The sequence below is a fragment of the Homo sapiens genome, chromosome 11, assembly GCF_000001405.40.
Source record: "Homo sapiens chromosome 11, GRCh38.p14 Primary Assembly".
In the NCBI taxonomy this organism is placed as follows: Eukaryota; Metazoa; Chordata; class Mammalia; order Primates; family Hominidae; genus Homo; species Homo sapiens.
In genome coordinates this window covers 121,868,547-121,895,215 of record NC_000011.10, presented here as the reverse complement: position 1 = coordinate 121,895,215, position 26,669 = coordinate 121,868,547, and the positions used below count along the sequence as shown (strand labels likewise).

Genomic DNA, 26,669 nt, shown 5'->3' with positions numbered 1-26,669 from the left:
TTCTCCTACCACCTATCTCCACCCAATTTTACTCATGTTCTAAATTCACTCAGATTCTCACTACTTCCATAATGCATTTCTTGTCCCCATAGATCTTTCCCTTCTCTAAATTCCCACAGCAGTTACTGTCTGTACGTAGTTAGCTAATTGGGTTCTTTGCACTTCAGCTTTCAAAGTCTTATGGCTTATGTAAGGGGCTTACAAGTTCCTTGAGGACAGATTCTCCCACAGTGGCTCATGCCGTGCTGCAGAGCTATCTACATGGTAAGGACATTAACATTTTTTGAACAAATTAGCTAATTAATAATTAAGTTACTCCACCTTATGTCTCTCTCATGCTAGGCTTTTTTTGTTTCTTCTACTGAGCAACAGGGGTTTGTTGTAACTTTCCACTGATCTCTGCCTGTGGTTGCTGGGCTGTGCTGATGATTCAGTCATTACTTGGGTACCCTGCCCCCTTCATGCTCAGACCTAGGAACCCAGAAGGTGAGGGAGGTTTGGATCCAGATTGAGTAACCACGTTATGATACCTTGTTAGTGTCGATTTTGTTTTGGAAGATCTTGTTCCTACTGAACCCAAGGGCAAGAAGTTGCTAGTGGAGACTACAACCAAATTAATTCTTAGCACCATATAATGAAAAGACAACAGAACCATCAACTCTTAAAAGTGATTCCTGGCCCTGGCATGGTGGCTCAAGCCTGTAATCCCAGCTCTTTGGGAGGCCAAGGTGGGCCAATCACCTGAGGTCAGGAGTTCAAGACCAGCCTGGCCAACATGGCAAAACTCCATCTCTATTAAAAATACAAAAAAAAAAAAAAAATCAACCGGGCATGGTGGCATGGCCTGTAGTCCCAGCTACTCGGGAGGTTGAGGCATGAGAATCGCTTGAACCTGGGTGTTGGAGGTTGCAGTGAGACCAGATCACGCCTCTGTACTCCAGCCTGGGCGACAGAGGGAGATTCCGTCTCAATAAAAATTAAACTTAAAATATTAAAAGTGATTCCTGATGATGCTAAAAAAGAAAAGTCATGTATGGCCTTTCCAAACACAATTAGATCACAGGCAATTTCCTGCCCACAGGTGTCCCATGAGCATCACCTGAACTTTCAAAGGCCATTTGCTTGGCCTTGGGCACCCTGTCTAACCATCCACTTCCGACATCCCCTGACCCAAACACCCCCAGGTAAAAGGCGTCTGTAGCCAAAACACTCCATTCTTACTCTGCTCGTCAGATTCAGTCTCCTGAAGACCAGAAAGGCATGAGAACTACATATTCCCTTAAAAGAAAAGCAAAAATAAAATGCCCATTATGTGATCCAAAGCTCCATTTCTGGGTCACAGTTTACTGGACCTACCTAGGACCTCAGAGTGAAGAGATCCAGAGATCATCTAGACTAGCATCTCTCTATGTCTGCTGCTTCTGATGACAAATCCCCGTGGCTTGCCTGATGTGTAATGCTACTGCCTCTGCTTAGATATTACCATAAAGAAGAAGGACCTCCTTCAGCAAATCAATGGTGGGAGATCTATGTGCCATGTGCCAGGGACTCTTTGTTGGTAGAGGAGTAACTGAAGGGCATTTGCCTTGAATGCAGTAGTTGTTTACATTCTAAAATTACTAACCCAACCATCACCACCTGCCCATCAAGAGAATATAAAGAAAGCTTTAGACCATCTTCTCCAGAAACAAGCACATAAACATATTTTCAATGTAATTTTAATAGGTTCAAAAACTCCTGAAACTGACCCATAGATCTCAAGCTAAGAATCTTTACTTTAATGCTGTTTTTGAGGACCATGCAAATGGTGCTGGTCCACGTACTAAAACAACAATTAAATTATTCTGTTTTTGTGGTGAAAAATTCAAGCCTTGGAAAGTGAGAATTTTATCTCAAATTGTAAGAAGTATCCACCTGGAGCAACTGTGTCTCAGGGACACTGAGAAGGTTAGGAACACTGAAAAGAAGTGGGACAGCCTTGCAAGCTCGTTTATGTGGCTGAATATTTCCTTGACGTGCTCATTGACATTGTGCAATGGAAACACCACACTCCTCAGCATTGTGTTGGCAACTCCTAGGTTTCTGAAGGTTAATGATTTTATGGGTCCAGGCCTCACACATGTTGCACCTTTCAAAAGCTTCATTTCTCTTTTGTTTGGAGGAATTCCCAATGACTTTTAATTAAGTGTTTTCTCTGTTGGCAGGAAGGAGACAATAAAGGGAAAGGGTTTGTGCATTCTTGCTCACAAAGCCAATGCTATGTATTTGTGGTCGATGATTGATGGGTGGAGCACTTAAGGTTGCAATTGCAAAGTAAAACCCACAGGTAGATGTTGCCTATAAAAACAGTCTTGGGAAGGTATCTTCTGCCGCACTTGCATGGTGCATTCCATGGTCTATTTGGACTCTTGAAGCTTTCTTAGGCATTGGGCTCTTGCTCCTAGGGGCATGTACTTCCTGAAGAACTTATGGACAAGAAGTCAGCCCACTTGAATGAACTGATGTCAACAGAGAGCTGGACCAGATGTTTGGGGAAGGGAAGAGGTGTGGAGATAATTACTAGAGTAGGGGATACATGTGTCACTTCTTACAAGGATTGAAAAGAAGTTTCCTATTATGCCAAGTGAGATGACACAAGAAGCAGATCTTATTTCTCAATATTGATGCCTTAGTCCAAAAGGAATGAATCCATTCTTCTGCCTCCAGGCAATGCAACATTCAAAGAGATTGGGTTTTTGTTCTTTTTTCAGCATTCTCAAAGAAGGGCATTCCGGCCTTCTTTAACCTTGCATTCCAGAGCCTCACAGTGCCTATACTCAGGAAATAACTTCCTCAGGTTTAACTTCAATCCCTCTCCCTGCAATGTGAGACCATTGCTATCCTCCAAGGATTGGAAGAACAGCTGCCTGGCACCTTGCCAGTCACATCATTCCACTTTCCCATTGTTCAGCAAAGGAAATGGCTCTGGGAATCTGTTGCTTGGCTCCTCGTCCGTCACCCAGCAGGAACCCAGGCCAGATCTTCAGGCTCCTTTGAACAGTCACTTTGCTGCTGCACCAGGTATCTACTTGGAGCACTATTTTCCCAAGCTTCTAAAATTACCACAAGTGACTTATCACCCTCTGAAAACAAAACTCTCTCTAAGGGGCTTTGAGAGATGATATAAAAGAATGTTCTACATTTTTGCAGTGCTTTACCTAACATTTGTGCCCACAGAATTTCCAAGATAGGCCTTATAGCCATCATTTTAAAGATAAGGAAATGGGTCCAGCAAGATTGGCTCAACCAAAGTTCACGCAGATAAGAAGAACAGAAGCCAAGAGTTGGCCTTCAAATTATGATACTTTTAAGTTCAGCACTCTTTCCACTACACCAGAGTAAAGTTCTGGACCATGGATGTCTTGCCTTTGTGATTCTTAGTCTAACAAACTAGAGAGGCAGATACACAAGGAAATGAGTGTTAAACTCTTCAGTCACAAGAACTGTGGAATCAGTTGGGGTTGGTTAGGAGAACAGCAAGAAAGCCTCGTGGGATAGGTAGCATTTTAGGATAGTTAAGGGAGGTTCTAGAGACAGAGCGACCTGACTTACAGTCCTGGCTCTAACACAGGCTGTGTGACACCAGACAGATTCACTAACCTCTGAGCTTCAGTTTCCTCATGTATGAAACGAAAATAATATCTTTTTCACAGGGTTATTTTGAGAAGTAAATGAGATAATTAATATAAAGTGCTTAGCACAGGATCTGACAGATAGAAGAGCTAAATAAATTTTTAAATAATAACTATTCATGTTAGGGAGTGAATAGAGCAATGAAACTGAATGGAGTTAAATTGGGAAAGGTTTCATTGAGGAAGTGAAAGTGCAATAGGAATTTGAAAGCAAGATTGGGGCTTAGGGGAGAGGACAAGAAGCGGATTATTTCTTTGCCCTCAGTCTCGCGTAGGGAGGCTAGTTTAATCTCTGCATGGGGGTTCCCAACACTGCCTGTCTGCAGATTTTCAGATTTTTAAGTCACTTTCTGGAACAGTGTAAAAGCAGTACATCATAGGCGAGGCTGTGGACGGCTGGCTTACAGGATATATGGGGAGATGCCAACGTTAAAGCAAATTCTATCCTAGAATGAGGAACAGCTTCAGTATAACTCCATTAAAAAGGGAGTGTGCTGTAATGTTGAGCTATTCTTAGTGTGGATAACTCCTTAAAAGGTTAAGTCTAATGAGCTGGCTTGCTTGCCATAGATGTGCTGCTTCTGATACAGATGAGAGGGATGACCTCTTTAAGATTCTACAAATTATTGGAAATAGGGATATTGCAATTCTTGGAACTTTCCCATTGATTGATTAAGTAAATCATCTACTAAATGCAAATCTAATTTGAAAGGTATACATTTAACAGAATTAATAAGTGAATTGAGTAGGCAAAACGTTAGAAGTAGCCAAAAAATGCCCTAACTGATTGGAGACTTCTAAACAGGCTCCAAAGAGTGAGGAACTCAAGAAGGAAATTACTGGAGGCTCTTAGGGATTGTGGCAACACTGCTTTGGACATCTGCCCAATCCAGTGTGGATTTGTGGAACATGAACCACAATGCCACAACTATTTCCAAAGGCATGTAAATCAGGAATCAGTTTCTGTTGGTGTATGACAAGCCATTTAAGGCGCCCAGGCTGAAGGACTGTGGGATGTCCATCCTGTGCCTTGGTGCTGCCAACTCACAATGTGGGTTTCTGTGACTAGTGGAATGGAGCCAGGTAGTTCCACAGGCTACGCTGCCCTGAATGTTCCTCCTGCCTGGATTGCTGGCAATGCAGAGGGAAACACTGGTCTGGGAGACCCAGTTCATAACCTGCTTTGGAAGGACACTCCTCAAAAACAGGTGCTGAAATTAGATAAGCAAAGGGAAAATGGAAAGGGAGAAAGAAAATCATATTTATTTAAAATCTACTCTATGCTAGTCACTTTACATACATTGTTTTATTTAATCCTCACAGCAATCCCCAAGATAAGTATTATTAAACTCACTTTACAAAGGTTTAGTAGCAGTACTTGGATTGGAAACCAGGTCTGACTCACTCCAAAGTCTACAAGTCCACAGTTTTTTTACTTCACAAGGTTGCCTCAGGGAAATGAACTATAGTCTAATTCCTCTGAGACATTAGGATCTGTGTGTTAGACTAGAATGAGCTAGGGTTGCAGAGTTGGTTTCAGATAATGAAGACATGGAATCACTGAGTATCACGTCAAGAGATTTGAAGGTCATTCCATAGGCAATGGGCAGTCAAAGAAGGTTTTAGAATGGGGATGGGAGCAGAGAAATAATCAGAATTGTCCTTCCTGCTCAGAGTGGAATTCAGTGTGGAAGGGAATAAGAGAAGACTGAATGGAAAAGCAAATAAAAAGGAAGAATAGGTCCTAACCCTGGCAAGTTTGTAATAAAGGTTTGAACTAGATGGCAATCAAAAGACCAGAAAAAAAAAGGTACAGAAGATTGTATTTTCCTAAAACGGCCACAGTGATATTTCTCATCACACGTGCTCTTCCAGACGCTTGTCAGTCCCCTTCAAGAGGTGGAGCCTATGTCCCCTCTCATTGACCTGGGCAGGCCTTTGTGAATACCTCAGCTAACAGAGTATGACAGAAGTGATGCTATATGATTGTCGTAAACTGGGATACAGCTTCCACCTGGTTCTCTCTGTCTCAGGATGCTTGCCCTTGTAAGCCATTATGCTGTGAGAAAGACCAGGCCACCTAGGGAGACCAACATGAAAAGAAATGGGAGCGCATAGCCACTGGCCCCTGCTAAGCTGCCTGCCAACATGGCGCACTAGCTTACCAGATGTGAGTGAGTCATCCTGAAGTGAATCCTCCAACACTTAGGGAACTTCTCCACGTGATGCAACATGGAACAGGGATAAGCCTTCCAGATAGAGCCCTGCCCAAATTGCAAATTTGTGAACAAAATAAATGATCGTTGTTTTACGTGCCTAGGTTTTAGGGTGGTTTTTAATGCAGCAAGAGATAACCTGAACAAAAAGGCCCAATGGGAGAAGATTCACTGGGTGCTTCAACCAACACACATACAGAAGAATCCTGGCCAAATAGTAACAAAAGTCAATTTTATTTACTTGATTGTGTCTCTATTGCTCTGAGGAGTAAAAATTTTAGAGTTGGAAAATATTTGTGCATCTATTTACAACCACATAACAAAGTACTAATCACTGCGTTTCTATAGTATCCACTCTAATCGGGGGAGATGGTGATGCAGATGGTCCCCCTTAATGACAAATGATCTGATGGAGACCAAACCTGCATTGAAAGTCTACTATGTGGCCAGGCATGGTGGCTCACACCTGTAATCCCAGCACTTTGGGAGGCCGAGGCAGATGGATCACCTGAGGTCAGGAGTTTGAGACCAGCCTGGCCAATATGGTGAAACCCCGTCTCTACTAAAAATGCAAAAAAGTAGCTGAGCATGGTGGTGTGTGCCTGTAATTCCCGCTACTTGGGAGGCTGAGGCAGGAGAATCGCTTTAACCCAGGAGGCGGAGGTTGCAGTGAGCCGAGAGTGAACCACTGCACTCCAGCCCGGGCAACAGAGCGAGACTCCGTCTCAAAGAAAAAAAAGAAAAAAGAAAGAAAGTCTACTATGTTTTAGGCATGATGTTAGGAACTTTCACATTCCCTTTCTCATGTAATCTTCATAAAACTCCCACACAGTCTTGCTTCTATTTTACAGTGTCCAGGAGAAGGTCTAGAAAATTGATAAAAACCTCAAACCGAACCAATGAGTGGTAGGGACAAGATTCATATTCAAGTCTGATTCCAATGCTTAGTCTCTTTCCACTACGTCATTCTCCATATTTGCCAAAAAATGATTTCCTTTGGTTTTGGTGCACATGTATATTAACAATGTTTTTTGAGTTGTTTGGAGAGGATTCTTTTTTCCTTCCGCAGCAGCATATTTACCTTTCCTAGCTACTGTTTTTTAAAAAGAGAGTTTGCATTCCTGAAGCATATACAACCCAGTGGTGTTGAAAGCAGATGGTCCAAAAGTATGCTGTGAGACATGGGGACTGAAAATTAAAAGAAATTTTTTTGGTCACAGTTATAGAGTGCTATGGTGCTATGTATATAAATATGTATAATACCGAATGTGTCACAAATAGAAGTGAATTTTTCTTTTTTATTAAGTTGGCCATCACCCTTAATAAAGATGTTTTTGCAATATAAGCTAAGATATTTTGCTCCAATGCATGAGTGTCTTATAAATTAAAGTGCAGAACACACAGTTAATTGTGCAAAACATACAGATGTCTGCTCTGATCAGTCTGCTTTAGAATTCTGTCAGGGGTTTGTGATTGTTTGAAAGGGAAGTGTTCCCTGAGAAGGAGAAGTCAATGTGGAGGGCAAGAGGTGAGAGTCTCTCCCTCTGAGTGTCAGAGGGTTCAGTGATTGGCGGAAGTAAGCGTCCAGCCTCCTCCATTCTGTCCTGGCACTGTTACTGCACACTGTGACCTTGCTCAAGCATTAACCCCTTGTCTTTTCTTGTTGGTTTCTTGGAGAACAATCACACTGCACCAGCCTTACTGACTGCAAGTTATTTCTTCAAAAAAGTCATCCGCCTTTGTGCAAATCCAAATGCTTTTTATTATAAACAACCCTCTCTTTTTCCTTTTTTCCCCCTGACAATAATGCATGTCTTCCTCAGCATGCCATTTTCAAAACCTTTGACATTTCACTGCACCTCATCATTGCCTTCATTGTGGATCGTGCCAATTTGTCAGTTTTAATCTGTCTAAAAACCTGCATCTGCCAGCATAAACCTTTTTATTTCTTATATGTTGATACAAAGATTTCACACATTGATTTTTGTGTAGCTCTGATTTCATGCAAGCTAAGCAAACAGTGACAGGTTGGTACTTGGGGTAATGAATGCTCAATCAGATTAATACAAATCAATGGCATTGGCAAGTTTTGGATGAGGCGCAGGGAGTAGGGTCTGGACAGCATGTGCTGCCAGAACAAAACAGATGGTCAGAAGCTGACACTCTTACCTCTTTATCTTGATGGACTCATTAGCGGATTTCTCTCCTTTGGGTCTCATTTGAGTTTCTTGGCTTTAAATGGCACCCCATAGATTGCCTACCATCCTGGAAAACTACTGACATACCCTTCTTGTGACCTGGCACAGAGAATATTCTAGTGCCCAGGGTCTGTTTAGCAGCCTGGAAGGCCAGGACTTAGGTAAATGGGTGCTGGAGCCACTGTTATCCAATAGGACTACAGGATCCAAAGAGTTAATGTTCCTTTTAAGAACCTACTTTTCTAAAAACTACCATTTTTTGAGTGCTGAGTCCTGAACCCGGCAAATTATTTTATTTAATCCTCACAAGAAGTCTGAAAGGTAGATTCTATTATTATTGTTGCTCTTGTTTTTATTATTGTTATTTTATAGGTGAGAAACTCAGGATTAAGCAATTTGTCCAAGAGGGCACAGCGGGTGAGTGGAAAAGGCACAGTTTGGCTCTGGGTCTGTAGGACTCTGAAGCCTTGTGGTTAGCTACTGGTGTAACCCGGCATCGACTTTTCCCCGGGTCTCATATGCAAGGGCAGATGGCTACGCCTTCAGGCAGCTTTTTCAGTCCTGGACTGATTCCTACACATGGTTCCTTCTTTTCTTCCTGCAGGCCTCAGAGGCTGTCAGCTGTCTCTTTCCTCCCTTTTTAAAACATACCTCTATCCAAGGCTGGCAGAGGGCCAGGGCATCGTCTCCTTGGCTCGGCCTCTGCTACTCTTGCTCCAAAGGGAGCACCATCCCAGGAAAAAGATAACGAGAGCCAAGAGGTTTCAGTCTCCCTCAGATTTTTATAGCCATTGATCTAGCAAATAGAGATCCTGACTTCCTATTTTTAAATTTTTATTGTTTTTAGTGATTTCCTTTCTAGATGGTGTCTTGAGCTCTCTGTTAATTGACTTGGCTGCTTATACTGCATGAGAGCTGAGAGTGATACAGCTTGAAAGAATTGCTAAGATGTGAGATTCTTAGGCCTGGCCTAAACCTCCTTTATAATCTTTGCCCCAAGAATGAGTTACTTCTGCATTTCTTCATTTCTTTGCATCTGTTCAGCTTCTCCAAGAACACTTCTATTCCAGGCATGGGGCTTCAAACTTCAGCTTTGCAGATGCTTTCCCATACTCAGAGCAATCTCCTCGGCCCCAGATGCCAATGTCCTGTATTCTGCTGGTTTGCCAGCAGATGCCAACCCTGCCTCTACCTGCCTTTACTGTCCGCGATTAATTAGGAAACATCCTTTTCCACAAACTCAGCCTCTGAGCTTTGCCACCTTGTTTCACAGTCACCCTTCAAACTTCTTTAAAAAAAAATATTTCTCTATCTAGAATTCTTCGACATTGTTTTCCTGGTTTCCCAAACTCTGTGGTTTCTCCTCTAACTTATTTTTCCACCACTGCTGAAAGTGTAAACCCCTGCTCAGTCCTTTCTTTCTGCTCTTCAGCTTTTACATTACCTGCCCTCAAGAGTTTATCCAGGCTCATGGTTTCAACTACCATTGCAATAATGATTCACACATTTCCAAACCTAGGAACTCTCTGCTCTCTTCTTAATTCCAAATAGCTTCCTATGGGAAATTTCTATGCAAAGATTCTACCATTATCTCAACTTACTGTGCCTAAACTTCCCATTTCTCTCCTTCCCATTCTTCCAGGCTCACTGGTTTCAGCTTAAACGTGTTCTCTCCCATTAAATTTACTCATTTATCCATTTATTCATCCATCCACTCAGTTATTCATTCACTCATTCAGTAAACATTTATGAAGCTCCTATTCTGTCATGTTCTGGGCAAAGCACTGAAGATACAAAAGTAAATGGCATATCCTGAATTTCTAATGTTGAAGATCCTCCATCAATCAACGTCATTCCCTATACAACCTTTCTTCTTATGGTTTCCAACCACACTAAGGGCTTCAGTCAAACTGGTCTCCTATCCTTCACACAAACATGTCCTTTCCTTACCTTTACGCCTTTGTTGTTGTTTTTCCCACCTAGAATAACTTTCTCCAATCTTTTGCCATCTAAAATCAACATCTCATAGGATTTTGTCATTCAATGGTTCCTTTCTTCTGTTGTGATCACAGGCAGTAGGAGGGCATGGTAGAGAATGTTTTAGTAACAGAAGTCTTAGAATCCTTTACCAAAGTTGTCATAAGCAAGCGTGTATTTTGTCAGTAAGAATAATATTGATTCTTTCATTTACTCATTCATCTAATCATTCACTTCTGAGCTCTGTGGAAAAAGGCATGAGCTTCCCGAGTATATAAGGCCAGTGCCTGGGTGACTGTCCATGCCACTGCTCACCATGGACCCTGGGTATGACTCAGGGTCTTAAGCCAACCACACACAACTCCCACTTCACAGCCAACTGCAGAGAAGTGGGACAGGCAAAGGATGTGTTACAGACTTTGGCCCAAGCCAAGATGTTTGTAAACTAAGTGCTGGGAAAGAAAGTTGGGAGGCACAAAAGAAATATAGTTATTCTCCCAGCTTTGAAAAACTCTTACATGGCCTTTGAGAGATTGAATGAGTGCAGAAGCCTCAATCCGTTCGTTTTTTAAAAAATTTGATGCATACTGAGTGCCTACTAAGTGCCATTCACTCTGCTAAGTTCTAGGGATACCATGGTGAGTAATAACTGCAGAAAAGCTACAACACAAGCAGAACTCAGCTCTTTCCCAAACAGATCCCTCTTCCCAGAGCCTTCTCTCTAGGCCTTTTAACATTCTGATGTAAAGGCAATCCCATTCTACACAGATGGATATGCTGAGACCTAGTATAACTGACTTTTCAAGTTCACATTGGGAGTTAAACACTATCAGAATAAGAATCTTGAGCTGTAGGATTTTTCATGGGTATTGCCTCCCTCCTTCTCATTCTGTCCCATGTCACATCCTCAGGTGAGTGGAGCTGGGTGCTGGGGTATGGTCACAAGGGTCTTTGGTGTTGACCTATGCCCTAGAGCAGGAGTGTCCAATCTTTTGTCTTCCCTGGGCCACACTGGAAGAAGAATTGTCTTGGGCCATACATAAAATACACTAACAATAGCTGATGAGAAAAAAAATCACAAAAGAAACACATAATGTTTTAAGAAAGTTTATGAATTGGTGTTGGGCTGCATTCAAAGCCATCCTGGGCTGCATGTGGTCCATGGGCTGTGGGTTGGACAAGCTTGTCCTAAAGGATAAAGCAATTAATCTTGCCACTATTGACCTGATAGCCTTGAAATTGGATATCCCCCATTTGTGTAGCAAATGTCCTTGGAATACTATGTAGAACAGACACTTCTGACCATCACACCTTCTTTCAAGCTGTGACTCCATAGCTTTTCCTGTGTTGGATGGATGCGTGAATAGATTTTCATTCATCTGCTAGTTCCCTGCAGATTAATGTTTAGGTCACATTCTTTTTAAAATTTTCAAAGAAATGGTTTCTTCATGATGTCATATATGTAGAGATTTGTTATCAGGAGTCACTAATTTCTTAAGTTCGCTTCACTTAAATCTAAATCTAAATCATGCTGTACATCCACAATGGGCCATAGCAGAGGACATTATCTTTTGCTACCACTTGGTAACACAGGCAGAACTTAAGGACAAGATAAGAGCTCTGGTTCTGGTTTAATTAGAGCCCTGGCAGTCTCACCTAGAACTCAGGTGGGACCGCCAAAGGGAGGGATAGTAACTATCAAAATGACCTTTTTCTTCCAGACCCAGCCTCAGCTGCATAGGGAAAGCAGTTGCCCTGTCACTTGGACCTGCATAGATGGGACCCAGGTCTCTGTCCTTTATAGTAGACTAAGGCATAGGAAGGCTGGTGAAAGGCGCATGGCACTAGAAAGCTGGAGAATCTAGCTCCAGTTAACATCCTTAGATCTCTTCCACCTACTCTGTCCCTCCCTCCACCCCATCCTCCTCTCTAGGACTGGCCCCAGGAGAGAAAGCCCACACCTGGACTTGGGCTAGGCAGAGAGCTCTCAGATGAGACTAGCAGGCTCCAACCAGTTTTTAACTCCAGCTTCTAAATCTTCCTCCTCTTCCACTCTGATCCATAACCCATGTCTCAGAGTGGGAATGATGTTAAGAGTCTTCATTTCACTTCTTTCAATTGGGTAAATAGATTTGTTAACACAGTGAATAATTACTCACCAGTAAATGAATTAGCTTAATTTGTTTAAGTGCAGATCATAGATGAAACATCACGTACCCATCATTTTAAGGTATTGATATAAACAAGAGATCAAGTCAGACAAAGGCCATGAATTCAGTGCTGCATGAAGGACAAGTTAATTGAAAAGCGAAGCAATCAATTCAGCACAGTGCCAGCTGCCATGAGGGATAATGAAAGCACAGTTCCCTGTCTTCAAGGAGCTTTGAATCAAATGCAGGAGTCCAGAAATTCATGGCAATTAGGAAAAAAACAAAGATACTACAGATACAAAACAAAATATATGGAATAAACCAGACTTTTCAGGTAGAAAAATTTCTTTTCAAATGATAGATTTTGATTTGGGTATATTAATATGTAAAATCACCAAAGCCATTTATTAAATCAGAAAACTACATACAGCCAAAATTTTTAAAAATTTTAATATCTAAATTATAAATCGTAAGTTATTCAATATCTCAGAGATAAGGACTGTTACTATTTTGGTATATGTCTATTTAGAATCATTTTTGTTCAAATAATTGTCATTTTAAATAAACAAGTTCACACCATAATACAGTTTTTAACTTATTTACATTTAACAATATATTATGAACAAAAATCAAAATATGGTTACAAACTGTAGATGATACAAAGCCAGGGAGGATAGCTGGTGGGAAAGAATCACAGTCTAGAAGAATCTAGAAAGATCTTGGCAACACAGTAGGAGGGCCAAGCTAAAAAGATTAAATTTAAACAGGGATACTTTTAAAGTCCTGAACTTAAATTGAAGAACTTTAGGTCTTAGTTACCTGTGAATATTTCTTAGCTTTCAGAGTATTGATGGAAACTAGGCTGTCTCAACAAAAGCCTGGTGTCCGTAAGAGGAGGGGAACATCTCTCTTTAGGTTGTGCTGGTCTGACCATATGCTGAGTTCTACACTCAGTTTTATGACCAATGTTGGTCAAGAGGACAATAAACAAGATGAAAACTATGTCAAATGAGTCATAATTGCAACAACTAGAAGTGCTTAGCTGGAGAAGAGGAGACTTTAGGCTGTGTGTGTGTGTGTGTGTGTGAATTCTTATTTACACATGCGAAGAGCTATCCTGTAAAAGAAAGATTTGATGTATTCTACGTAACTTTAGAGGGCAAAAATAGTTGGACGACTCTGAGATAATCCTCACAGCATCGTAGGAGAAATAATTATATAAACATCTGAGCTGTCCAACAATGGACCAGACTGCCTTTGTGGTAAGGAGTTCCCCTTTCTTGAAAATACTTAAGCATAGGTAGAGAGTGTACCAGAGGTTCATGACACTGGACTTGAAGAATCCTGTGGTCCCTCCCAACTCTAAAGATTGTAAGACAAGATGAAATAATATCACCAAACCAAATAAATAACTTACACTTGATTTGTGGATTTGTGCATGTGTGTATGTTTGAGTACAGTTGACCCTTGAACAATATGGGAATTAGTGTGGCTCACTAACACTAATGCTCCGTCGAAAATCCAACATGTAATTTTGACTCCCTCAAAACTCAACTACTAATAGCCTGCTGCTGAATGGAAGCCTTACTAATCACATAAATAGCCGATTAACACGTATTTTGTATGTTATATGTATTATATACTGTATTCTTACAATTAAAGTAAGCTAAGGAAAAATGTTATTAAGAAAGTCATAAGGAAGAAAAAAATGTACTTACTCTTCATTGATCCAAGTGGAGGTAGGTCATCATAAAGGTTTTTATACTCATAGTTTCATGCTGAGTAGGCTGAGGAGGAAGAGGAAGAGTTGGGGTTGGTCTTGCTGTCTTAAGAGTGGCCGAAGCACAGGAGGTGGAGGACATGGAAGGAAGGGCAGGAGAGGCAAGCACACTGAATATAACTTACATTGAAAAAAGTCCACATGTAAGTGAACTTGTGCAGTTCAAAAGTGTGCTGTTAAAATACGAAGTGTATATGGATGTTTAAATTATCTACACGTTCAAATACTTGCATCTAGGGAACTTTCTTTTAAAAATATATCTTGAGCTTAAATCTAAAATCAGTTGCCTGCCTACTTCTCCAAGATGTAGAGGAGAAAAACAGACTGAGCTTGAATTCCAGTTGCCCTTTATCCCAGCAGTACGACCTTGAGAAATAAGGGTAAACTTTGAGTCTTATCACACTTATTTCAAAAATAAGGAAAAAACAGAGAATCAAAGGAGCATTGTGAAGATTAAGTGACTTATGCTATCACACTGCATGATGCATATCAGGTACTTAATACATAGTAATTATTATTATTATTATCATACTGGCCTTTGTCATCCTCTTTCTCCCCAGTGTCTCTTCTCACTCTCCAACTTTATCTTTCAAGTCACTGTTGGCTTATGTCTGTGTCAATATTCATCTGTCTCATCTCTCCTATAATTCTGCAAGTGGTGTTTAATGAAGATTAGAATGACAAGGGTGTGTGGAGTATAAACTATAAACACGATGGTATAAGAGAAAAAAGTGAAGGAAGAGAGTGCCAGAGAAGCAGAACAGGCCAGCTCTTTCCCCACCTCCAATCCCTATGTCCTTTCCCCACCCCCCCAAAAAAGAGAAACAGGAAAGAAAGCCAGTGGAGGAAAAGATACTGTCAAAAGAACAGAAGTGGAAACATTGGATCAAGGCAGGATCTCACACTGGAAGGGGCCAGAAGGAAGTGAGAAGCAACAGACAAATCGCCAGGTCCAGAGTGAGTGGAATGAAAAAGATAGATGGTCTTAAAAAGAGATAACTAACGAGTCTCCGATAACTTTAATTTTCTGGGCCTTGGTGAGCTCTGCCTAATCTTCAATTAAATGGAAATATAAGTAGCTGAGAAAGAAGCCAGTGGATGGGAACTGACATAATGGACTATATTGACTCTCTGAGAGATATAAGGAACCTTCTAAAAGCATAGTATTTTACACGATCATTTGTCAGGCTTCCTCTGGGTGAATGATCTCCTTCGGGGGAGGTAAGTGGATTGGCTAATCTTAGTGTTTTGTTTAAAGTGAACCCTGCATTGTGCTAGAAATCTGTTCACTTTACTGAGCAGACAGGGAGAGGGAAGGAACACAAACACGCCCACCGCTCTTTCTTTCTCCTGAGGGGCCTGATTAGCCAATTGCCCAACTGAAGATCCAACATCCACTTTTCTCCACCTGCCATTTTGCTCTTTAACTCATCACCTTCTCCATCAGGGCCCTTGTTTGAATGTAATCGTTCTTATCTTCCTGCTCTCACAGGATGGAAATAATCTACAGACCATCTAAGCATGTACCCCATGGATACCACCTCCTCCCTCCACCCCATTTGTCTACCCATAGAAATACCCTTAGCTCCATGACTTGCCTCTTCTATCTCTGTACTTAGTGCTGGGAGAGTCCCTGACTCCCAGCCTACAGTAATCCTCCTGTCTCTCTCATTATTGTCTTCACTAACAGTTCTCCAGCTTGTCAAAAAACCCAAACGCAAAGGTCCAGGCAGAATTTCCAGGAACAGGGCCTGAGGATCTGTACTTTCACAAGTTCATGGTTGATTTTAATGCACAAAACAGTTTGAGAACCACAGGGTTTCGTGTGATTTGTTTAGGACTTAATCTACATTGCCATGTCTTGTATGTTAATTTTTCACAAGTTGGGTCTAGCCTCCAAAAGTGAACTATGATTTCCTTCTTGATATTCCCCTTCCCTTGCACATTGAGAGGTGCTCAGAAAATGTCTGCTGGAGACAATGCTAGGATAATTTGGGTTTTGGTGTTAATTTTAATAGCAGCAGGTTGAGGACATGCTGGTTTTGCACAACTCTATCTTACTAACATCACGAAGCCTACCGATCTCTAAGCACTCAGCCCTTGAAGATTTGTCCTAGGGATTGGGATTTTTAGAAACTTCCCATCCAGCATTCCCTCCCAGCTTGTCCATCCTCCCCACATCTAATACAATAACGCTAATGCGCTCTCACTACCAACAGCAACTTACTCCCTGAGGAGAAAAAAAAATCACCAGGTGACCATTGAACAGACCCTGGAGACAAAAACTCCTTATCTGAGGAATTTAGAAGGAAGCAAAGACCACCTGGTGACCCTCAAAACAGGCCATCAGAGGAGGCAGAGGCAAAACTCCTTATCTGGGGAAAATTAGCAATAATTAGACTTCCCTATTATCCAAAGCAAGCATCTCACTCCAGATTTCTTCCCACTCCCTCCACCAAAACAATTTATAAGTAACTAAAATTTCTATATGTCTCTGGAATGCCATGCAGAAACTCATTTTACAACCCTAAGTTCCCACTTTAAGGTCCATAAATACCCCTAAGGAAAACTCCAGGTCAACGCTGGGTCCTCTGGCTGAGGCACCCCACTGCACTCTTCCACAGCACATTCTTCCTTTCTGATAAACTTTCCTTTTTCAAACCTATACTGTTGTCGGTAGATTCTTTTAACCAACCTGTGAGTCAACCACTTTCCAATGCCAGGGCTCTGACACCTCGCCTGGCACTCCCAGTGCTTGTGATACTACCTCAGTGAAATGATTTTTGGGGGTCACAATTACCATATGACAAAAGTTTTCATCTAAGTTCTTCATTCTCTCCTATCACTTCATCTCCCAAGAGAAGAGAAATCTAGACAGAGAGGACAGAGACAAAGGTCCTGAAGCAGATAAAAAGCTGTCTTTGGTTAGAAACTGTGAGGATCCATTTTATTTCAACTTGACTGATCTAAGAAGTGCCCAGGCAGTGGGTAAAACATTACTTCTGGGTGTGTCTGTGAGGCTGTTTCCAGACAATATTAGCATTTGAATCAGTGGACCAAGTGAGGAAGATCTGCCCTTACCAATGTGGGTGGGCATTCTCCAATCCATCGGAGGCCTGAACGGAACAAAAAGATGGAGGAGTGGATTTTCTCTCACTCTTCTTAAGCTGAACCATCCATCTCCTCCCCTCAGATAGCAGAGATCCTGTTTCTCAGGCCTTTGGACTCCACAGCTTATGCCATCGGCTCTTGTGGTTCTCCAGCTTGTAGACAGCATATTGTGGGACTTCTCACCCATCATAACGGTGTGAGCTAATTCCTGTAATAAATCTTCTCTTTATCTATCAATCAATCAATCTGTCTATCTATCTTCTATCTAATTTATCATCTTCTGTCTATCTAATCTATTTTCTATCTCATTTATCTATCTTCTATCTTTCTATTTATTTGTCTATCTATCTATCTATCTACTATCTATTGATATCTATCTATCTATATCTATCTACCTATCTCCCATTGGTTATTTCTCTGGAGAACTCTAACTAATACAAGAACATATCAGATATCTCCAGTAAAGTGACTAAAATGGTGGATCATGTAAACCCACGAAGAAAGGGGACACACTGTGTTGGAAAATAATTAATTCTTAGGTCATATTCATATACATTTTCACTTTATGAATGGGGGTTAAATAATTTCAAGGTAATTCGAGATGTATAAAAGCAGTCTCAAAGTCTGAACTGAAAATATTAAACGTGTCTCAGTGAGAACATAAGATGTTTGCTTGTGTACAAGGTGTTTTCTGCCTGACTCACACTTTCACTGAGACTGTAGCTCCCCTGTAAATAAGAACACTTCCCTACAAGTCCTTCTGGACCCAAGCGAGGGCAAAGTTACAAAATGCAAGAGTCGATTTTCTCTTTCACTTTCTTGTCACTTAATTCCTATTTTCAGTAGACAGAAAGGCCGGTGGCTATTTACAATTAATATAGTTTCAATATAAAAATTCTTACCAGTTGATCCAAGAGTTTACTTCTAGGATCCGGGTGAACCACCATCTATGAAAGTTTACCAGCTCTAAATCCTACCCATGCTGAATTGAGTCCAGTGCCAATCTTAACAAATAGGAGTGCACACTCCCTGTTCATTCTTTGCTTCTAAACCCTCAGATAAAGGCATGCCAGTTTTTTTCTCTTTCCTGCCCTCAATTTGCCATTTCTACTTCCAGTTCTGAAGATGCTCTTTTCCCCACCACTGTTCCTCTTTAAATTCCACCTGTATTTCAAAGCTTGGTTCCGGTAATATCTTTTTTACAGGACTTTCTCCAACAACTTATCCTCACACTGATCACCCGGTGTTCCTTTAAATAGAACATCATTGAGTCAACTACACAGGTTAACTCTCTGGTCTTTATTTCTGGTGTTTGTGCTTTGTCTCTTCAAGTAGATGCAAATGTGTCTGGATTTTGATATCAGACAGGCACACCTTCCCACAGACTAGTCTTGTGACCTTGAGCAAGTCACTTCTAAATGTCTCAGTTTTCTCTCTGTAAAATGGGGAGAATGTAACACCCCATAGAGAGTTATAGTGAGGACTGGTCAAAGTAATTGTTCATTATATGTTAGATATTATTGATGTTAAACAGTCCCTTACAGAGGTGTCCAGCTCAATGTCACAGTAACATGGCCTCGCAGTCCACATGTAAGCCTCTAACTGGCATGACCTTTTTCTCCAGCACCTGATCTAGTCTGTAAGCCTTCTAGAAAATTCTTAAAGCTCATGGTAGAAGAAAGTTTTTTCTTACATACATGATATACAATATACACACACACTTACAAAATAGATGTCCATATACATCTTCCTACTTTCTAAAATTAAATATTTAAAATGGAAACTTAAGTTGTCAAATAAAATGAAACTGGCCCCCAAGGAATACAGGCACATTACTTTGGTAACTCCCTGGACCTACCGAAAGTGCCACCCGGGCTGCTTCAGGAGTTATAATCCTGGAAATTTTATTACGTACTTAACCATCCATGTAGACTTGGAACAAAAATCTTCAGTTGTTCATATCTAGCTTTATTTGTAGGCAGCCTAACAGATGTGAATTAAGGAGTAGCAGCCTCTGTCCAAAACACCTCCCTCATTTGCTGTGGAAGTGCTAATGGAGAGTTACTCCTCTGTGATAAGACTGCAGATATGTTTATTAGAGAAAAACCATCTATGGTGGTGTTAAGGACTGAATTATGCCCCCCTCCAATTCATATCTTGAAGCCCTAATCCCCAATATAACTGTGTTTGAAGACATGGCCTTTAAGGAGGTGATTAAGGTTAAATGAGGTCATATGAGTGGGGCCCTAATCCAATATGACCCATGTCCTTATTATAAGACAGACATCAGGAATGCGTATGCACAGAGAAAAGGCCATGTAAGGACACAGCAAAAAGGTGGCTGTTTGCACACCAAGAAGAGACGCCTCAGGAGAACTGTGCTGGAAGTTCAAGAGCTGGCACCTTGATCTTGAACTTCCAGCACCCAGAACTGTAAGAATATTAATTTCTGTTGTTTAAGCCAACGAGTCTGAAATGCCAAAAGACATGCATTCTCCATGTTAACGAAAGTGTCCTCAAATAGACTAATGAGTGAGACTCCTGACCATCACCACAGAAAGCAGCTGACAGCACTGAAACTCAAAACAGGGCAGTTTAGCTGGAAGAAGGGGCACTAAGAGTAGATGGGAAAGACTATTTCAGCATACGGACTGTTGTCAAGGGAAGACAGATGAGAACAAGGTGCTAGAGTGGGCGGCCCTGGGCAGTTCTTTCTTCGAGGCAGTGGGGCTTCTGCAAATGAGAAGGATGGAGGCTGCAGGTTCAAGACAACCCTTCTCTTGTAATGCACTCTGACCATGGCAACATGGTACCAGGGGAATGATCACTACCATAACCAGAAGGGCTGTGTCAGAATATCTATTCAGCAGTCTATCTCAACAGACCCTGAGCCATGATGTCTGCAGTCTCTTAAAATGTTTAAGAAAAATACAGCCAGCAGAATTCCTGGGGATGGTGAGGTCAGGGCTTGAAGGGGTTCAGGACTCAGAGTATGGTGCTTGGAGAATATTTGAATGGTTTTCTTTCCACCACTGCTTTTCCAAGCACATCTAAACACCACCCACATGCCACTCCCATAAGATGATTCTGGTTTGGTAGTCCAGAGACCTGAGTTCAAGACCTTTCTAAGGGCCGGGTGCAACGGCTAATGCCTATAATCACAGCACATTGGGAGGCCAAGGTGGGAGTATTTCTTGGACCCAGGAGTTCAAGACCATCCTGGGCAACATCACAAGACCTCGTCTCTACAAATAAAAATAAAAATTAACCAGGCAGGGTGGCACGCACCTGTCGTCCCAGCTACTCAGGAGGCTGAAGTGGGAGGATCGCTTGAGCCTGGGTGGTCTAGGTTGCAGTGAGCTATGATCACACCACTGCCCTCCAACCTGGACAACACAGTGAGACTCAACAAAAAAAAAAAGAAAAAAAAAAAGAAATATATCTGTGAAACTCTTCTAAATTCATTGCTTTTAAAATACAACACTACAAGTTATCAATCTTGCAAGTCCAGGTTTCCTCCTTTTTAAAAGTGTGGTAATTTTAGGTGGTGAAGTATACAGAGAACCCTAGGCCACAGCATGAATCTGTACTCTAATCTCTGCACCCCCTGCTCGCTCTGTGGCATTTGGCATACATGCCTCTTTCCTGTCTAGGTCTCAATTTCCTTGTCTATAAAGAATGGGGATAAATTTTATCATTTATAAAGTCCCTGCCAATTCCAGAGCTCTGGTGTGCTATTAAAAAAAAATCCTTGAGGGCAAAGAACAGAGCGTGTGTTTGCGTGTGTGTGTGCACGCGTGCACGCACTGCATCCTCTTAGCTCTGCAAGAGGTAGAATGGACAAAGCAATTTGTTCACTAAAATGGCACAATCATTCTTGCTTTGATTTGTCTGACTATAGGAAGCACTCATCGCCACAGCACTTCTACCCACACATTAAATATTACCAATCAGCAAAATGTGAAAATATACATGTGGAGTGCAGAAAAACCCACTCAGGGAGGATACTTAGAGAAGGTAGGTCCTAAATTGCAAATGCCAGGAAAAAAAAAAGAAATCCACCCCAGCTGCCCCTCTGGCTGCAGTGAAATGCCAGGGCACTGCACAGGCATCTTGAGAACTTGGAGCCACACAACAGGGTGCATTCAGTGCTCCAGAGCCATCCGCTGCCCCACATGCTCTGGCACCAAGATACAACGTACATGCCAGTCCCTGAATTACAGTCAACCTGAAGCAGCGTCCGCCAAAGATTAAATCAAAATTTACCAGGTAAAACCCAAATGTGGTAAAGGTTCCAACAGGACAATTGGGAAAAGTGTATTAAAATGAAAAAAGAAGAGAAAAGTTTAGGGGAAAAAAAGATGCAGCCAAAACAAGGCAGCCATTGGAATTTGCCAAGTGGCTCCTTTAATTAAGGATGGTCTCCTTAAATTACATTCATTTCTCTTACCCTTTTCAGGGCAGTCCAGGGTGAATAATATGTTTGTTTCTGGCTGAAGAGGTGCCAAGTTGAAGGCAGTTTTTGGTTAATAAAACTAGTTCATGCTATCAGCCAGAAGTCCTGTCTACTTTTAGAAATCAAGAGAAACTAGTTTGATCTTAATCTTCAAGAATGACAGAACCTATTAATCCATAGCATTTTTATTTTAAAGCATATTCAGGACAAGTGAGAAGAGTAAATAATATTTCACCCTACTTTTCTGTTCCTGGAGACTCCTTCTACCTGGCTTAACACATACTAATACTTATGTTTAGCACAGCCTGCACACAGATGCCAGGCAAATCATTCCAGAAACTCTTTTAATTACTTTTTTCCCAACTCAAAAACTAGCAATCATTTTCCATTATCTATAAGACAAAAAAAATCCCCATTATTTATTTTTTAAAGATGGAATCTTACTGTATTTGCTCAAGCTGATCTCAAACCCCTAGATTCAAGCGATCCTCCCATCTCAGCCTCCCAAAGTGCTGGGATTACAGGTATGACCCACTGTATCAGGCCGGAAATTCCCATTCTTGATTCTGACAGTTAGAAATCTGAGCAGTCAATTGCTTTATCTCCTCTACCCTCATCACCCACCTCTAAAGCTTAGCCCTATTTATTCTCAACACAGCCCTTGGCGCCAACCAGACTGTCTTCTTCAATATCACCCACAATCACAGACTTACCCATCACTGTGCCCTTGTGGATACTGGTTTCTATTTTATTTGTCCAATTCACTGCTTTACCCTCAACTCCTAGCAGAGGACCAGGCATGTAGGAGGTACATAACAAGTATATGCTGAAAAAAAGAAAGAATGCAAAAGGGATAGACAATGGACTTAAAACCATTCCATTGCTTCCACCAGGCTGTATCTTAATTATCCCTATAAGGGCCACTTCAAGTGCAGCCTGCTCCATGAATCCTTCGGCTGTCTATCACACACTAACCTCTTGTGTCCTTTGAAGTTATGTAGACCTTACTAACCTGTTGAGGATGAATTTGACTGCTTCTTGTTTTTCTCACAGTGCCTAGCCTACAGCGAGTCTCTCAGTGGGTTCCTCTAATTTTCCATTTGAAGAAAGAAAAGGAAGTCAGTATTTAAAAGACTTGGATGCTGTATTTCCCTTTCAGTGCTGTCCAAGATGTTTTACTTAAATGATTTTCCTCTTCTTTTTCTTTTTTTTTTTTTTTTTTTGAGATGATAGAGTCTCGCTCTTTCCCCCAGGCCGGACTGCAGTGGTGCTATCTCAGCTCACTGCAAGCTCCGCCTCCCAGGTTCATGCCATTCTCCTGCCTCAGCCTCCCGAGTAGCTGGGACTACAGGCGCCCACCACCAAGCCCAGCTAATTTTTTGTATTTTTAGTAGAGACAGGGTTTCACCGTGTTAGCCAGGATGGTCTCGATCTCCTGACCTCGTGATCCGCCTGCCTCGGCCTCCCAAAGTGCTGGGATTACAGGCGTGAGCCACTGCGCCCGGCCTCCTCTTCTTTTTCTGATTTGTGTGATGTGGTCCTCATCTGCTGTCCTTTTGCTCTCTCTGCAGTTCAGTGCTGCATTCAGAGGACAGGGTTGGAACTAGATTGTCTTGGCTCACAGCCCAGATGTGGAATTTCCTAGCTCTGTGACCTTGGGCAAGTTACTTAACTTCTCTGAGTTCTCAGTTTTCTCATCATAGACTTGTTATGAAGGTTAACTAAATTAAACTGCTTTGAACATTGCCAGGTACATAAAATGCCAAATTCATATGACCTTTGATTATGCTCTAGCCACACTGGTCTTCTATTTCTTGAAACACGCCATACACCTTTCTACTCCAGAACTTTCACATATGTTATTCCTCAGTACCTGAAATCATTTCCTTGCTCATTCTTTCCCTTCAGGTCTCATGTTAAATGGCACTTTGTTAGGGATGCCTTTCTTGATTCATATGCAGTCTAGGTTAGGTCTCTTCTAATTTGTTCCTAAAGCTCCCTAAATATCAGCATGACACTAGTCACATTCACAATTTTTTGTTCAAAGATCATTTCCCAGGTTAGACAAGACACTCCAAAGGCAAGAAGGGGATGTATCTGTCTTATTCATTCTTTTTTTTTTTTTTTTTTTTTTTTTTTTGAGAAAAAGTCTCACTCTTGTCCCCCAGGCTGGAGTGTGATGGTGCGAACTCAGCTGACGGCAACCTCCACCTCCCAGGTTCAAGTGATTCTCCTGCCTCAGCCTCCTGAGTAGCTGGGATTACAGGCATGCGTGACCACACCCAGCTAATTTTTGTATTTTTAGTAGAGACGGGGTTTCACCATGTTGGCCAGGCTAGTCTCGAACTCCTGACCTCAGGAGATCCACCCACCTCGGCCTCCCAAAGTGCTGGGATTACAGATGTGAGCCACCACACCCAGCCTGTCTTATTCATTCTCGAACACAGAACACCTCACATGGAAATTACAAATACATATTTATTGGGTAAATGAATCAATGAACTATCGTGGGGAAACTGGAAAAGATTCATAGGACAGTCCCAGACTTCAGAACAAGGTTGCATCTGACAATAAAATTATGAGATGCAAAATAAAGTAGATTAGATTGGCCACCTAGAGAGTAAACAGAACATGGGTAGCTGAGGAGATGAAGAAACACCCAAGCCCAGGCTAGGTTGATTGGAATGTGCTGGCCTTTAGCATTACTGCAAAACAGGGATGCAGAAATGTCAGCGGTGTGTTATATAACAAGTATTTTTGCCACCTGTAATAAATCATCATGGCACATATCCCAAAAGCTTTCCTCTCCAAAGGGAGCCTGGGATCCAAGTTGCCTAGATAATTTTAGCGGTGCCCCCTTTTGGTACATGTCTGAAGAACAATGGTTCTCCCATGTTGTTGCTTTATTCACTTCTTATTTGGCTGAAGGGGAGGGAAACAGGGTAGGGAGTTGAGGCAAGTAGGTCAGCAACACATGCCAAAAAGGACTAGAGATTAAAACACATGTTTATGGCTGGCAAAGGGCCCCTTCCCACAATCTATCTGGAGAGTAGAAAATAGCTCACCATGAAATATTAAATAAGTGAACTTGCTACAAGCACCCACAGTACAGTTTCTAAAATATACTCACACATTTCTGAGCCTCCTAATTAATCAGAGGAAGTTGGAACCTCACGGCATTGTAGACAGCTCTAACAAGCTGGTTTTAAAGGAGTTAAAGAAATGTGTTGATTGGAGCAAGTCAGCATTCACAATAAGGACAGAATGTTCTCAAACGCATCGAGGCAGTTCTGTAGTGGAGAAGGAAGTGAACTTGGGCCTACCGGGAGATGAATGCCTTTCTCCAGAATCCCAGCCTCAAAACTTCCCTTTTTGAACTGTCTTCACAGCCTCTTATTGGGATACCAATACCTGCATTTTAGTTTGTGTTCCTCAGACTGCCAGGTGGAACGAGTACAAAGGAGTAGCAAGTGGCAGAGGAAGCCTGCAGGGAGAAAGGAGTGGGGTCCCCTGACGGCCTGCAGAGCCACAAACAGAGGAAAAAAAGTCATCCTTCTCATTTCTGCAGAAAGTGAAAGAGGGGCAAAAGATCCGCAAATTAGTTCATTATGAACGCCTTTGTGAATAACCTCCACGTTTGCTCTCGAGTAGATTTCATAATTCTTTCAATAGCTTTGAGAATAAAATGGGTAAAAAGTTAACTTCCTTTTGGTCCTCTTATCAAGAGTAAATAAAGTTCAACTTTGCATTTTCTCAGTTTAGCCAGCCCCCCTTCCTGGGACCCAGTGATCAAGTATGTGATTGAGAGAATTCAATAAACATGAGGAAATGGGACCTGTTTGGGAACAAAGATCCCAACGGGCTCTTCTCCAAAGAGAACCTGACTCTTCCCTGACACCATTCACAAGCCTCGGCTGGAGAGGCTTTCTTACCTTTGCAGGCAGGTGCTGAGCCACCAGGCGGGCCTGGCCTGACCCTAGAACTGCAGTGTGCTTCCCTTTTAAATAAACTAAGCTGAGCAGGAAGACAAGAAGAAAGATAATGTCCGTGATGAATGGGCAGTCAGGCTAGCTGGCTTTCCAAACTCGGTTCCTCCAGCATCCCTCTAGGTGACCTTGTCTAAATTATCTCCTGTTTCGAGGCCTTGGCTTCGCATTCTGTACAATGCAGATGACAATTTCACCCTTACCTTGTTTGCTGGTTCAGCATCAAACTGCCATCCGACCTCATGGTTGCATGGAGGGCATCTGACCTTCATGTAATATCAGACAGAATAACCAATATTTCCAGTCAATGCTTATGTTAAAAAAGAAATAAGCATTTCATCCAAATAACCTGAAAAAAAAGACAAAATCGGTATTTCCAACAAAAGTATTAAAAAATCTTTTAAATTTTATAAGCTGTGCATCTGTTACCTACCGAAAAATAACTATTTTGAAAATCGAGTCAACAATTTCAGAGCTTTTCCACTAATTCTTAATGTATTATTTTACATCAAGACTTAACACCATGGGTTGATTTTGATTAGATGAATGCTTTGTAATTTATCAGTGTTCTCTACTTTACCATCAATCACCTTCCCTAAAACAGCACAACTCAGGGGCTTCAACTGCCCCAGGTGGTGGGATGCTCCTTCCACTCTCTTTCAGCAGGGGGTCTTTACCGGGAGTGATCTCAGAATATATGAAACACCCTTTAGGGACTTGTTTAAAAACCTTGGCTGGGCGCGCTGGCTCACGCCTGTAATCCCAGCACTTTGGGAGGCCGAGGCGGGCGGATCACGAGGCCAAGAGATCGAGACCATCCTGGCTAACACAGTGAAACCCCGTCTCTACTAAAAATAAAAAATAAAATAAAAAGATAAAAAATTAGCCCGGCATGGTGGTGGGCGCCTGTAGTCCCAGCTACTTGGGAGGCTGAGGCAGGAGAATGGCGTGAATCTAGGAGGCGGAGCTTGCAGTGAGCCAAGATCGCAGCACTGCACTCCAGCCTGAGTGACAGAGCAAGACTCCATCTCAATAATGATAATAATAATAATAAATAAAATAAAAACCTTTTGTATACAAAAATTCAGAGCAAAGAATAGCCTATTCCATAAGGGTCATGAGGC

At 41.8% G+C, this 26,669-nt stretch overlaps 1 long non-coding RNA gene across 1 annotated transcript in view; it reads right to left on the bottom strand.

The window, feature by feature from the left end:
• Positions 1-25,894, bottom strand: part of LOC107984402 (uncharacterized) — a 37,164-nt gene extending 11,270 nt beyond the window's left edge. Inside the window, exons 1-2 of the long non-coding RNA XR_007062925.1 lie at positions 25,749-25,894; positions 13,931-13,999 (exon numbers count right to left, since the gene is read on the bottom strand). This is a non-coding gene — a long non-coding RNA (uncharacterized LOC107984402). The remainder of the gene's footprint in view (positions 1-13,930; positions 14,000-25,748) is intronic.
• Positions 25,895-26,669: the final 775 nt, after the last annotated feature.